General features: G+C 42.7%; 1 protein-coding gene across 9 annotated transcripts in view; it reads right to left on the bottom strand.

The window, feature by feature from the left end:
• Positions 1-15,122, bottom strand: part of PIWIL1 (piwi like RNA-mediated gene silencing 1) — an 88,374-nt gene that overhangs the window by 47,539 nt on the left and 25,713 nt on the right. For 6 of the 9 annotated variants that reach the window (NM_004764.5, XM_011539002.4, XM_011539003.4 and 3 more), the window contains 3 exons: positions 11,464-11,589; positions 7,399-7,546; positions 6,085-7,240 (listed from right to left, as the gene is read on the bottom strand). In NM_004764.5, the coding sequence (NP_004755.2) occupies positions 7,124-7,240; positions 7,399-7,546; positions 11,464-11,589 (391 nt within the window). In that variant the 3' untranslated portion in view covers positions 6,085-7,123. Of the gene's footprint in view, positions 1-6,084; positions 7,241-7,338; positions 7,547-11,463; positions 11,590-15,122 lie in introns of those variants that run through there. The other 3 variants (XR_007063144.1, XM_047429892.1, NM_001190971.2) reach the window with 3 other exon arrangements.

The raw sequence follows: 15,122 nt of genomic DNA, 5'->3' as shown, positions 1-15,122 counted from the left end.
AGCAACATTACTTACCAGGGAAATGCAAACAATAACCAAAATAAGGTAAGATTACATACCCACAAGATGACTAAAATTAAAAAGGCATCATCAAATACTGGTGAGGATGTGGAGCAATGAAATCTCACGCATTGTAAAGAAAAAGGGAAAAGGGCATAAATACTTAGAAGACAGCTTGTTAGCTTTTCATGAAGTTGCAGACATGCTTCCCATATAAATCCAGCAATTCCTCATCTATGTATCCGCCAGAGAAATGAAAACATACATCCCCACACAAAATCCTCAACAGTGTTTTTCATGGTAGTCTACTATACTAGCCAAAGATTGGAAACATCCAAAACACCCACTGATTGATGATGAATAAACAAATGGTGAACTCATCACGCGGTCGAATACCACCCAGCAAACAACCCACTTACACAGATACACAGACTCTGCTTTAAAACACCAGGCAGACCAAAAGAAGCCAGACACAAGAGTGCATGCTACCCGGTTCTCCAGGTGAGATTCCAGAGGCAGGTCACTGCTGCATCTGGTCCCGGTGGGGAGGACTGCTTGCAAAGAGGCAAGATGGAACCTTTGTGGGAGGAAGGGTATAGGCATTCTCTAAAACTTGATGGTGGCAGTAGATCCAGAGGTATAGACATTTGTCCAAACTCATTACACTGTATTCATTTACTTTATGTAAATAAACTAGACCTCAGTACAGTTGATTTAAATCAGAAGCAATGGCATGTAAGTTGGGTCAGGGAGAATAGCATTAAAGTGTTTAAAGATTCTTGCGCTGTCCAGAAAGAAGGTACATGTACTACTCCCGCTCTCCACTTCACAGGGCCTGGGACCAAATGGGAAGGGTTGGCCTCCGATGGAAGGTGAGAGCGAGCAAATCATGAGGCCAGATGCAGCCCCCAGGCCCCAGACCAAGGGCAAAGTGCCCGCTTGTGCTAAGGTACCTCAGGCCCTGCCACAGCTGAGGCCACAGGGCCACACCAAAGGGCTCCTTTCGTGCCTCCAGATCACACCCTGGCATTGCATTTATGCCACATGGGTGGGGACATGGCCAGGATGGACTGGACCTACTCCTCCAGGCACCCATGAAGAAAACCACCCAATGCCAGCAGAGCATCTGGTGTTCAGATACAGCCGGAAGCTGAGATTTAGAATCCAGGTTTCTCAAAAGCCGGGTTGCTTTTTCGCCTGTCTGGACGGCCCCACCTCTCTGCCTGGTGTAACTTACTTCCCAGGGGAGATTTCTAACATATCCACGTCCAGGTCTCCAGCTGAGATTGTTCCGTGAACTGCGTGCGCACCGACATTAGGGGTTGCTAGAGCTCCCTGGTGACCGCCATGTGCACCCAAGGATCAAGGACCACTGTTGGGGCAGAGCCCTTCAACTTTAACATGCCCAGGAAATACTAGGGGCTGTTTTTCTGAATTATGGGCGGCACTAGTTATTCACCTATCCGTTCAATAAATATCTGAGAACCTGCTATACACTGGGGATCATCGAAACTGGGAAGACAAAAGTGAACAAAACACTCAAGAATCCTGGCCCTCATGGGCTCAGCATCTAGCGGGAGATGAGTAAGAGAAAAGGTAAGCTGGGCACTACACTAGCTAATGATACCAGTGAAGCTGGGGAGGAGAGGCGAAGGGTAGGTGTCTAGGCTGCACGCTCACAGGGGGTGGTCACAGAGGGCTTCCCTGTGCTGGTGCCATTTCAGCCCAGACCTGAAGGAACACACGGGAACTTGGGCTCCGAGCACAGCAGGCAGAGGAAACCAGGCAGAGGCCCTAAGGCAGGAGGAGAACCGAGTCTCCTGTGAGCAGCTGGGATGACACAACATGGGAACCTGGCAACGACTCTGTGTTCCTGAGATGGGGATCCATAGTGGGACTGTAAGCAGATGTGTGACTTCATCACTGTGACTACTTTGCTGAAAATGGACCAAAGTCGGGGCAAAGGCAAGAGCAGAGACATGGGTTAGGAAGGCTAGGCTGACAGGATTAGTGGACAGGTACTCGTATTTTGAAAGTGAAGCTGATAAACTTCACTGAGGAATCTGAGGTGTGATGTAAGAGATGACTCCAGGATGGCTCCCAGGTTTCTGGCCTGAATGAACATTTGGAAGGATGAAGTCCTGATTTACGGAGCTGGAACAGGGCTTCAAGAAATCACAGTTTAACTTTGAGCATACTGAAACACCAGTTCAACCAGAGGTTGTCAAATGCGGTCTGGAGGCCCCTGGAAATCTCAGACTCCTTTGGAGTTCTGCGAAATCAAAATTATCTGTATGATACTGAGAGGTCACTTTTCCTTTGCACTCTAACGCGCCCTCAGGCATATACAGTGTTTTCCAGAGGCTACACGTCATGTGCTGACAGTATCATTCTGACAATGGAATATGGGCACGCATATTTTTAGATGTTTTAATTTTTAATATGGTAATTATCAACAGATATAATTCACATAAACAAAATCTCTGTGTCCTCAGTAATTGAAGAGTGTCAGGCAGTTCCGAGACCAAGAAGTCTGAGCAGCATTGTGTTGGACAGCCTAAGGGAGACGTCTAGGAGACAGCTGATGATGTGAGTGTGGAGTTCAGGGAGGAAACTGGGCCTGGAGATGTGGTCTGGGAAGCATCTTCATACAAATGAGTCATGGGTGAAATCACCAACAGAGGAAGAGCAGAAAGAAAGGGGATCCTGGCAGAGTCTGAAGGCACATTTAGGCCTTAGAGACAAGAACCAGCAAGAGACTGAGAAGGAACAGTCAGGTGTGGGGAGCCAAGAGAGCATGGCATCGTGGAAGCCAGGCAGAGCATGTTTCCAGGAGAAAGGGGACACCATGCCAGGCGTGCAGCAGGTCTGGCTGGAGGATGGCCAGGAATTGAACAGCTGGCACTGGATTCAAGAGAGGATGGGGAGGAAAGAAGTCCAGACAACACAGGAGTTTTGAGGGAAAGAGAGAAATGGAACAGTAGTTAAGGGTCAATGGGGCCCAAAAGGCTTTTATTTTTTAACATAAAAAAAAAATGACACCAGTTTTGCAAGCTGTTGGGAATGAATAGGAAAAGAAAAATACTAAAGCAGGGAAACAAGGAGAGACGAGATTCCAAAACAACATCCTCCAAAAATGAATGTCTTGTGCCCAAGCAGGTGGGGTGTGCTCTGGCCGAGTGCACAGACCGTGCGTGCCGCCACAACACCGGGCTGCAGAGCAAACGCGGTTCAGGTGGGAGCTTGTGAAGCTCTGCCTGGATTTTTAGCAAAATAGACAGTAGTTGAGAATGCGGATGGAGGTGGTGGTGGTGGTGGTGTAAGGAGACAAGGTATGAAAAACATCAGAGAGCTGTGGAGCCAATGGCTAGACATACATGTATTGACAGCATTAAATACCTGCTTGTGATCATGAATTGAAATACAACAATTACACAGGGTTGCGTGCTTTTCTCCAGCCGTGTTTATTTGCAAAGGAACAGGCAAGTAGGCAAAAAGCTGGACTTCACCGGTGTGTTTTAGCCAAGAATTAGAAGGAAAGCACCACAGGACAATGTGAGCAAGCCAGGAGCTACCATCTGCAAGGAGGAATCGGAGCTCGGGGAGCATAAAGTGGCAAAGGGAGGGGGAGCGGCTGACATGATCTGATCAAAGTAGATTCAAAGCCGAGTGGTTTCTTTTTTGCGGGGGTCGGGGTGTCTGGAAATATCAGTGAGGAGCAAGAGGGACACCTACCTCACCCTCCAGACCTTGGCAGACGAGAAGTGTAGGAGAGACAACAGCAGCACTGTGAGTGACCCGGGAGAAAGCCGAGTTTGTTAAAGGGAGATGTAAAGAAACCGCCCCTAAGAGGCTGTTGAGAATGAGCTCCAGAGGACACAGGAAAAGTTGAGGAGCAGGGGATGGTGTCAAAAAAGAGACTGCAAAGAGCTCCTCAGAGATGAGCCTGAAATACGAGGGATCACCTGGAGCTTTGGGCTTGTGGGAAGAGCCCAGGGATGGGGCATGCCACTGGTCGTGGGGTTCCCAGGCATGAGAGTGGGAAGGCTGCGATGGACGAGGGCAGAGCGCTGGACTCCGCAGTGCAGAGTTCTAGGTGCCCACTTGAGTTCTGGCAGCACAGGGTGCTTGAAGGGCAGCTTAACTCAGAGTGTAGAGGCCATGGAGCCTCCTTTGAATGGTGGCCTAGAGAGAAGAGTCATCTTACTCCAAGTGCAGGGACTCCCTCCTGACTACTCTTGAAAATTTTACAGTTTCTCTATTGTACACAATGGATTTTTAAAATCATTGGGTAGTAATAATGAAGGTAAAGAAAATTAAACCTAGCTTTTGAAATCTTGTATCTGAATGACAATACCAATTACACAAACTTTAAGCTTTTACTTAGAAATGTACGAAATATCTGAAGACTCGTATCATAGTATCAGAATGAAACTGCTGTTGAAAATACTTTCTATTTGACTCTGAGGAGAGAGCCAGAGCCGTCACTGTGTGTAAGCAGCAGGTTCAGGAGATTACTCCAAAAAACTCCTGTAGGACTTAGGGAATGCGTGTAAAATTGCTAAATAGAATGCTTCAATGAGTGTCACATTTTTGAATTTTGAAGGAAAATGTACCCAGAAAAGAGTGGACAGACTTCCTACAGGCATGCACTTTTGGGGAACCACCCACCAAATCCCTGGGGTTCCTTCAGGAACCACCAGGTAGACTGGTCAGACGAAGCTTTGGGAAGGGACAGCCTGAGGTCAGTGTGTTTAACACTAAAGCTTTTGGACATCCCACTCAGATACGCACATCCCACGTGAAAGGAGAAATTGGGATTTCACGGAGTCTTTGCTTTGTTCTTTGTGAGTGCGGCAGTGAATTCTCTGACAGTGCTCCGTGTACTCGGTGTGGCTCAGACATCAACCTAGTCTCTGTCGCCGCATGCAACAGGTTTGTCTGATGAAAACCACAGCAGAGGCATAACCAAGACGATGTTAAGGAGACCCCTTTCAACTAGCATTTGCCAAAAGTCCCTGGCAAATCACCTGGGACTTGTTTAATAGACTGTTCACCTGGCCTCTCCCCTGAGAGTCCCGATTCCTAGGTACAGTTTGGAACCCAGTCTGTGTTATCACAAACCCAACCAGGTGATGTCTAACAGATTAGTAAATTTGGGAAGTGTTACCTAGGATGATGACAAAACCAAGCAATACCCTTTTTTGGCTTAAAATAACTTCAGCCAGTTTTCTGTCCCTTTCAACTAAGTCTTTCTTGATATAGTGGGGTCTCTGGACACCTGCAACTTTTCCACAATTATCACATTTACCAATTTTTCACGGTTCTAAAGACATTAAATTCAACTTTCACTTTGAGGCAGAGCTGAGACCTGCTAAGAATGAGCTTTTCATGACTTAACTAACTGACTAGCCACCAAAATCCATAAATAAATTAATATTTTCCAGTCGTATGATTAGACTTCCTTATATTCCTTAATGCTAGGACAACCTTAAGCAACTTCTACCATTGAAATGTTTGTCTCTGGCCTCCTTTTGAAGGTCACACTGTTCTGTGTTTCTTGTCTTCTCATGCTTAGAAATCGAACAGGTTAAGGAACCTGGGCTGCTTGCCCAGAACAATGTTAACAACAATTATTAGCTCTAAGAACTAAAAGGAAAATAAAATGGTTTTCATTCATAATATGTTAATGAGGCTAAATTCAGAATGAGACCGTGTGCCACAAAGGTAAGACAAATGACTTGAGTGATCTGCGTTAGTTTAAATTACAGTTCCAGGGACTTGTGTATTGTCATTAAAGCTTACACTCATCACATTTGTAAGCAATGTTTAAAGGTGTTCCCGGGATTTACAATAATTCATTAATTTTAAGCCTTCTCTTTGCAAACGTTCCTGAGAATTCCTATAAATATGTAGATATAAAAAACTACAATTACCAACTTCACAACACCACAGACTTCTTAGTCTGTGCTTCCTTATAAGCTGTGGATACCCGTTCTTATACTACAAATATTGGAGGTGGCAGCATTTCCTTAAAAAATTTTACTCTGACATTAGAGTTCGTAAGAGACACTAATTGAGCTTTTTTTTTTTTTTTTTTTTTTTTTTTTTTTTTTTTTTTTTTGAGACGGAGTCTCACTCTGTTGCCCAGGCTGGAGTGCAGTGGCGTGATCTCTGCTCACTGCAACCTCCGCCTCTCAGGTTCAAGTGATTCTCCTGCCTCAGCCTCCTGGCACCACATCTGGCTAATTTTGTATTTTTAGTAGAGATGGGGTTTCACCATGTTGGTCAGGCTAATTTAGCTTTTATGAATGGAATTGTATGCACTTTTAAAAATTAAATGAAAAGAAAACGCACATACTTTCAGTAAAACAAGAATTACAGTTATTCAAATAAGGTGACAATCACATCAATTTTATTTTATAACAAATAGAATCATGTCCCAGTTCCAAAACAAAATAAATAGTAATGTTAATATAGAGATTTACTCATGGCCTTTTTTGTTAAAGAGTCTTAAAATGTTTCTTTGGACAATTTAAAAATTTTCAATGTTTTTTTTACTCCCATACAACCTAGCCCCCCTGCCAAATAAAAATCAAGCATATTTTCTCCTGTATCTTGTGTATAGGTTATATAATAGTACCTTTTATCTTTAAGATATGAGCTGAAACCCCACCTATGGTTGTAGTGAGCATCCTACTTTACGCCTCTTATCTCCTTTAAATTCAAAACAGGTATCTCAAAAATAAAGTTAATATAGGTTTATAAGTAGGACTTGCTCACTCCTGAAAGTACGTTTAAGTAAATCTCCAAACACATTTCAAATACTCTCAGAGAGTCTGTTTTATACTACCAAGTATCTTATCCACATTTCTTCAAAATAAACAAAAAAATGCTCACAAAATATCTATGAGAAACAAGAAGATAAAATATAAAATCTTAATTTTTACGTATAAAATAAGGAAGCCGGTGAATAGCAATGCTAGAAATAAAATGCTAGATCTCCTAATCCCCTTCCCAAGTTTCATCCAGAAAGATAACAGTTAAAAAAAAAGTAAATAAAAGCTTAAAAAAATCCCAAAGTCATTTCAAAAAGAAAAGCGGCTGCATCGTCTTCTGCAGGTTAGAGGTAGTAAAGGCGGTTTGACAGTGACAGATTTGGCTCTCTGTGAATACTCTGGCCAACAAGAAAAGCCAGCTTGTGGGCGTACTGGCAAGGAGCAGGAACACGAATGACACCCTTTAGTGGAAGGAAAAAAAGGTTCTATTACTCTAGACTTAGCCTCTTTCAATTGCAAATCTCAGTATTAACCCTAAAAGCCTTTTAAACCACAGCTATTTCATTTTGAAAAGTGAATGTCCTTTATTTGCTAAACATCAACAAGTAGAAGCACTTACTGGCCAGTTGTAATAGATGTGGCACAGCTTGTAGGTCAAGCGCTGTATGTGGTCTGGCTTCAGGCCGCTGTTGTCATAGATGACATTGTAATGTGTGGGAGAAACACTACCACTTCTCACAGCCTGGCTCACGATAAAAAAGTCATACCTGGAATTACAGAAAACACACGGATGTGCTGAAAACTAAAATTAGGGTGATTCCAGTTTCTTACAGTGAAAAGCTCTGTACCACTCTTCACTGTAAGTTACTACAGTAACCTCATCTCTTCTCACGCTGTAACGTGCTTCCTTGAAGTCCAGGAGCCTGTTATTCATGAACCATTTGGGACTGCTTATGTGTGAAAGATGTTTATCATAAAGATGATGATTTTGATTTTAAATATCTGTCATGATGCCTCCCAGCAGAACCAAGCATTTGTTACGGGCGCTAAAAACGATGGCATACTTGGCCAGTTCCTGTTTTCCACCCCGACCCCCGAACCATGTGACTGAGCCTTCAGACTCTGGAAGCACGACCTGTGGGGGCAGCGAGTGGGTCGAGCTTCAGGGACTGTTACTCCCCAAACATGCTTTTACCACGGAATCTTTTCCCCTCTTGCTGTTCCCATTGTTATTTAACAAAAGTAGAATTCATTTTAATCCCCAGGAATTTAATGCAAATCTTTAAGTGGAAGGGAACATGAAAGAATATAAACTAGTATGGGACCAAATGGAAGAACAAAAACCAAGTATAGCCATCCATTGGGAATTGGTTCCAGGACCTCCTGAGGATACCAAAATCCTCGGATGCCCAGGTCCCTAATATAAAATGATGTTGTCTTTCTATAACCTCCCATATACTTGAAAGTATCATCTTTAGATTATAATACCTAATACAATGCAAATGCTATGTAAATAGTTGTTTTACTGTATTGTTTAAGGAATAATGACAAGAAAAAGTCTGCACATGCTTAGTACAGACTTTTTTCCAAGTATTTTTGATCCGAGGTTGGTTGAATCTATGGTTGCAGGACCTACAGATAAAGAGAGCCGCCTGTAGTACAAATATGAAGGAATACGCATTAGTTTTTTTTTTTTTTCATTTTCTTGGTACCAATAAAATATCAATCCAGAGATATTGTAATTTGACCCAATAAAGATTTAAGGAAATTAACCCTGCGATTTATTATGCCCATCAAAACTAGTAAAATTAGGAAAGCAGAACTGATCTACAACAGATGGTATAGCTACCTTTTCAAAGAATGAGGAGTTAAGAAATGTTAAATGACTTGTTCAGAAAGAACAGCGAAATCATGCCAGGGCTGGAATCCAAGCCCGGCTTCCCAGCTTAGGCACAAACCATTTGCAGTGCTGGTGATTACAGATGACTTTGGTGCTCATTAAGAGCGGGCTTCTCAGTTGCAACAAAAGCAAAAATTGACAAATGGGATCTAATTAAACTAAAGAATTTCTGCACAGCAAGAGAAACTATCATCAGAGTGAACAGACAACCTGCAGAATGGGAGAAAATTTTTGCAATCTACCCATCTTACAAAAGTCTAATATCCAGAATCTACAAGGAACTTAAGCAAATTTACAAGAAAAAAAAACATTAAAAAGTGGGCAAAGGGCAAGAACAGACACTTCTCAAAAGAAGAAATTTATGTGTCCAGGAAACATACATGAAAAAGCTCAACATCACTGATCATTAGAGAAATGCAAATCAAAACCACAATGAAATACCATCTCACACCAGTCAGAATAGCTATTATTAAAAAGTCAAGAAACAACAGATGGCAAGGCTGAGAGAAATAGGAACACTTTTACACTGTTGGTGGGAATGTAAATTAGTTCAACCATTGTGGAAGACAGTGTGGTGATTCCTCAAAGATCTAGAACCCGAAATACCATTTGACCCAGCAATCCCATTACTGGGTATATACCCAAATAAATATAAATAATTCTGCTATAAAGATACATGCACATGTATGTTCATGCAGCACTATTCACAATAGCAAAGACATGGAATCAACTCAAATGCCCATTGATGAGAGACCAGATAAAGAAAATGTGGTATATATACACCATGGAATACTATGCAGCCATATAAAGGAACAAGATCATGCTCTTTGCAGGGACATGGATGAAGCTGGAAGCCGTTATCCTCAGCAAACTAATGCAGGAACAGAAAACTTAACACCGCATGTTCTCACTTATAAGCAGAAGTTGAACAATGAGAACACATGAACATGGAGGAGAATGACACACACACTGGGGCCTGTTGGGGGGTAAGGAGGAGGAAGAGCATCAGGATAAATAGCTAATGCATGAGCTAATGCATGTGGGGCTTAATACCTAGGTGATGGGTTGATAAGTGCAGTAAACCACCATGGCACGATGTAACAAACCTGTACGTCCTGCACGTGTGTCTCGGAACTTAAAATGAAACTAAAAAAAAAAAAAGAGTGGGCTTCTCCAGGTGTCCGAATAGCATCAGCAGTTGCTACATTTTAATAATATCTAGTGAAAACTCATGACGTTTTTTATACTTCATAATTCAACTGGGATTTTACCCAATTTGTTTAAGTTACTGTCTTCAGGCCAATGTCACATCTGGGCTTTGGCGTTAGGAGTAGTAGCAATGTTGGAAAGCATCGGGGGTCGTTTTGAATACGGTGAAAGAGAATCCTGCAGAAATGAATTTGCTATGTTAACATCTTAGCCTTCTTTTGTCTTTCTAGCCAATTTTTCCCCAATAGGCTAGAATCCTTCTAACCTATTAGAACCTTGTAACCTAAGCCAATGCCATAACCTAACCTAAGCCAATGCCATAACATCTGTCTGAGAAAAAGACAGAAATCCAAGATAATGTATTTCAAAATAAAAATTTCTCTCCACTGTCAGATAACAGAGCAGACTAGATAAGACTAAACTCTGTATGCTATTATCATTTTCCACCTAAAGTCGCTATAGTATTGCCTCATTTACCCAAGATTCACACAGGAGAAGTGTTCCACATGTCAACTTTGCACACAGGCCGAGACTTTATCCTCTTAAAGTCGCCTTCTTCACAAAGGTTCCAAAGCACCTACATAGAAAAACAGAAGTCCTCCCAACGATTCGCTGTCCTGAGTACAGTGTCAACTTAGAATGACTGATGGGTTGCCATCACGAACATGCTCACTGCATTAACAACACCTCACACAAAAGGGTTTTTGAGGAACTCACTAAAAATGGAACAAGTTTCGGCTGGGCGTGGTGGCTCATGCCTGTAATCCCAGCACTTTAGGAGGCTGACGCGAGCGGATCACTTGAGGCCAGGAGTTTGAGACCAGCCTGGCCATCGTGGTGAAACCTCGTCTCTACTAAAAACACAAAAATTAGCTCGGCATGGTGGTGCATGCCTGTAATTCCGGCTATTCAGGAGGCTACGGCATGAGAATTCCTTGAACGCAGGAGGCAGAGGTTACAGCGAGCCGAGATTATGCTACTGCACTCCAGCCTGGGGAACACAGTGACTCTGTCCCAAAAAAGGAGCCAAGTTTCCTGACTTTCTCACGGAATCCTCCCGTGCTACTAAGGCCATTTCCCTGTGCCTGCCGGTGCCCGCTGTAAGCTCCGGCTGGCATTCTGCTTTTCTTGCGGTCGGTGAGTGCAGCTCGGCTCAGAAGCCACTTTACTCATAAGCACCTCTGTCTCAGATAAAACTTCTTGACCTTTAGACAACTAAGTGTATTACAAATCTAAACACTTTTTACTAGAAAACAATCTGTGGATAGGTTATGTACGTAAAAAATATAAAAGCAATCTACAGAAGCAATGCTTAATCTCCCTATGTGTAGTTAATACCACAGAAAATAATCCTCTTTCCCCCAATGAAAAACTGTACTTGGAAACCTCTGTTCAGACACCAGGAAACCATGGGCTTTATTAATTATGTTTGACCAAATTAGTTGAAAAAATTAATGTTTATAAAAAATATAAGAACAAAAGTAAAATGTATTAAAATTGGTAAAGCATAGGGGCCATGCTAAAGAAACCACCACCAAGGAGAAAACAACCTTCAGCTCATCACATGGAACTTACCATTCTGGTCTGGTAACCTCTACATCAATAACTGTTCCAGGAAGTGGATTCTGAAGTCTTCCTCCAGACTGAGCAAAAAATCTGGTGTTCACTCTTTTCTTCACCACAATTACCGTTAGTCTAGGGCTTAAAAATGATGATGAATGTAACTGCATTTAGCCAGTCATATTTTCAGGGCACTCATTCATTCAGGTGTTCACATGCTCCATTTAAAAAGGAACACATCCCTCCTGGGGCGTATCATCTGTCCAGGTTGTGGAGAAGGATCAGGATCTTACTCTTGACAGGAGTAAAGACCACGGATAAACGGTGAGAGGGAAACCAAATGGCACATATGTCCTGTGACACACGGTCATGTAGATGGTTTATCCATAGACCAAACACATTACATACCAATCACACCAAAATGTTAAATCCAGCATGTCTTCAAAATTCACAATTTATAACAGTCTTCAGTGGGCATTTTCTACTGTGTAGAAAATATAATATTAACTCTAAAATCTTTGACAGGTAAGTGGATTTAAGTAGTGCTTTTCAAAATTACCGTTTCACTATATATCGGGGATACACACAGACACACACTCATACATACATACTACATATTCATATACCTTTTTCAGGAGGAGTAACTTCATTTTCATACTCGTGTTTCACCGGAGTCTCAAATGACGTTTTCCGCAGACCCCAGGACGGCCCCACACTCCTTGGCCTACCACACGCCAGATGCACCCATACTAGAGGCTGCCCTTTTTAGCCACCCATCCCCACCTGGATTCTTCAGGCGGCTCTCCTGTGTCAAGGTTCATCAGGCTTCTTGGCCTGGACACAGCCGTGCACTATCAGCTGTCCGTCCCGGCAGATCCCTGGCCCTTCTGCCCTCCCTCTGACCCTGCGGAGAGCAGCCCTGCACTTGCACTGCCTGGTCTGCTTGAGTACCTTTCACATCCTTTTCCACCCCCTCCTCCAGGCTCACTTCAAATCCTTCTGAAGCAGCCACACTTGTACACACACAATCCACGTAGTTAATCCATGAATTAGAACAGGTAGCAATTAGAACAGCACTGCCAGGTAGTAAGCACTAGATAAACATGATTATTAGCACCTCCATCTCCAACTACAACATTAGTTCCTTAAGAGGACAGATACACTTGATTTCCAATGCTGGGAAGCAGAGGGTTTTATACAGTATGGACCTAGTAATGTCTGACTCGGCAATGTTGCTGATGTTTTTCACTGAAAATTGAATAGGGCAAGAAACTCAGTGAGAGTACTTGAGTAAGCAGAGGACATCTTCAGAAATGTCCCTATCTGCCTACGCAGACTACTGCTGCCCAGCGACTGCCCGTGCTAATAGCTCTGAATATAACAAAGCCACAATGAACGTGTTGAAAATGTGTGCAGCCCTCTGTTTCAAATGCCTCTGCCACTTACAGAGATTAAGTTCAGCATAGGGCCTTGTTAGAAAGTGATGACTATCTAGGACTTCATGACAGCATCTAAAACAAGTATCAGTCTTAGGAACGGAAGGACATAAGGTGGATAAAGTTAATCCTATAACATCACGAGAAACAATTTAGCAAATATAGTAACAAAAACAGGTCACAAATATGCTGGCATGACTTTCTGATTTGTTCTTGCATCAAACAGTCTAAATCAGCTGCCCTGTGATACGTTGCTATAAAAGCTTAAAAGCAACATTTCAATTTGAAAGCAAACATTGTGGTTCTAATGATAACTATTAGACAAACATTGAAGTCCAAACTTTGCATTTTCTAAAAGTGAAGAATAATTTTCAGATATTTTACCTTTATGTACAACTTGAAGGTTTTTCCCAGAACTATCTACCATGTATTGAATACTTACTGGATACTGTGTGAAGTCCATTACGTATATTTTCATTTACGCCTTGCAATGCCTCAGTTAACTGTTCCCTTCTTCTACAAACGAAGCTAAAGCTGGGATTAACCAAACTCTGATTTTAAGACATATTGCTTTTTACCACTGATCCCTACTGCCACAGTTCACAGTGTGCAGTCTACTTCACGCAACAGTGCACTAAGTGTCAGCCCAAGCAGTCGACTTAGGTTCTCCTTCCCTGCAACGCTGTGTTCCCACTCGCTGATGGAGCTGGGTAGGCGCACCCACCAGCTGCACCAGGGTCCACTCTGCACACTCAGGACGACTGTGCACAGGTACTCATTCACTAGGGTGGCAACCTCCTTTTCAAGAGCCATTTCTGCCAGTCCTTCTGGGAATCAAACCCAAAGGACCCTAAGAAACAGAGATGACCCAGCAAGGCCAGGAGTGTGTACTCCTAGTAGCCCTACAATTCAGCTCAAGGGAATGTGACGAACTTGCACTATGACCTCTATTCATCATTTCTTGACAATTTCCTTCACTTCAGGTATGAGGAAATGACAATAAAGACTAGAAAACACTGTGTGCTCAAGTAGTAAATCGCAGGAAAAAAAGAGTAGGAAAGAAGCAGTCCAAGTCAGAGCCTCCTTTACTGCCTGCTGCACACACCACACCACACCTCCCCACACAGACAGAAAGGCCAAGTCAGAGAACAACATACAATAAGGCTTCTAAAGCCTGAAAACAAAGTATCATTATTTGACAAAATATAAGCATTAAGAGTCTTAAGGGAATAGGAAAGAACATTAACTTTCATTTCCAAAATATTAAAAAATGCGTGGTCTTTTAATCTGAAACACAACTATTTCAAAAAAGATAAAAACACTCCTGACTTTCTCTGAGACCTTCACGGCATCACATGTCATTTTAAGAAACGTCTGGGATAAACACTTATTGTGTGGGGCCTTTTAGCATTGGCCAAAGATGACTCAGAAGCCCGTTAGTAGAAATAAGGAATGACCTCTTGGTGCTTGTCCTTTTCCTACGCACCAGATAAAATCAAGCCCCAGATGTGGCCAGTGGCTTTCAGAATCCCTCCTTTCTATAATGATACAAAATGCTAAAATACAAGAATAATGGGTGTGTAATATGTATGTGCAAGCACACGAAACAGGATCCAAGATCTTCCAAATATCCTGAAAAGTTCAATCTTTAAATCTGTAATGTATTATGCACTTAGCCCTTAATACAACAGTCCCTGATTTCAAATCACTCACAGATCTGATAAAGAGGACTAGTTAACGTAACTGATTAGAATGGCTCTCTTGCGATGGTACACATTTTATTGACTCATAATGGCACTGACGGAAATGTCTGTAGGAGAGCAGAGGAAGACAAAAACCAATATGGGTTTCAAAGGAAAACAAGTGCAGCATCTGGATACCATCCTCGGCTGTCCACATTCCTTAAAAGGACAAAGTAGAGGCTGGGAGTTGTGGCTCATGCCTGTCATCCCAGCACTTTAGGAGGCCAAGATGGGTGGATCACCTGAGGATGGGAGTTTGAGACCAGCTTGGCAAACGTGGTGAAACCCCGTCTCTACTAAAAATACATAAATTAGCCAGGTGTGGTGGTGCACGCCTGTAATCCCAGCTACTCAGGAGGCTGGGGCAGGAGAATCACTTGAACCTGGGAGGCGGAGGTTGCAGTGAGCCGAGATTGTGCCACTGCACTGCAGCCTGGGCAACAGAGCGAGACTCCATCTCAAAAAAAAAAAAAAAAAAAAAAAGGGAGAAAGTAGA

The sequence above is a fragment of the Homo sapiens genome, chromosome 12 (genome assembly GCF_000001405.40).
Source record: "Homo sapiens chromosome 12, GRCh38.p14 Primary Assembly".
NCBI classification, from domain to species: Eukaryota; Metazoa; Chordata; class Mammalia; order Primates; family Hominidae; genus Homo; species Homo sapiens.
This window is presented reverse-complemented; position numbering and strand designations above follow the sequence as displayed.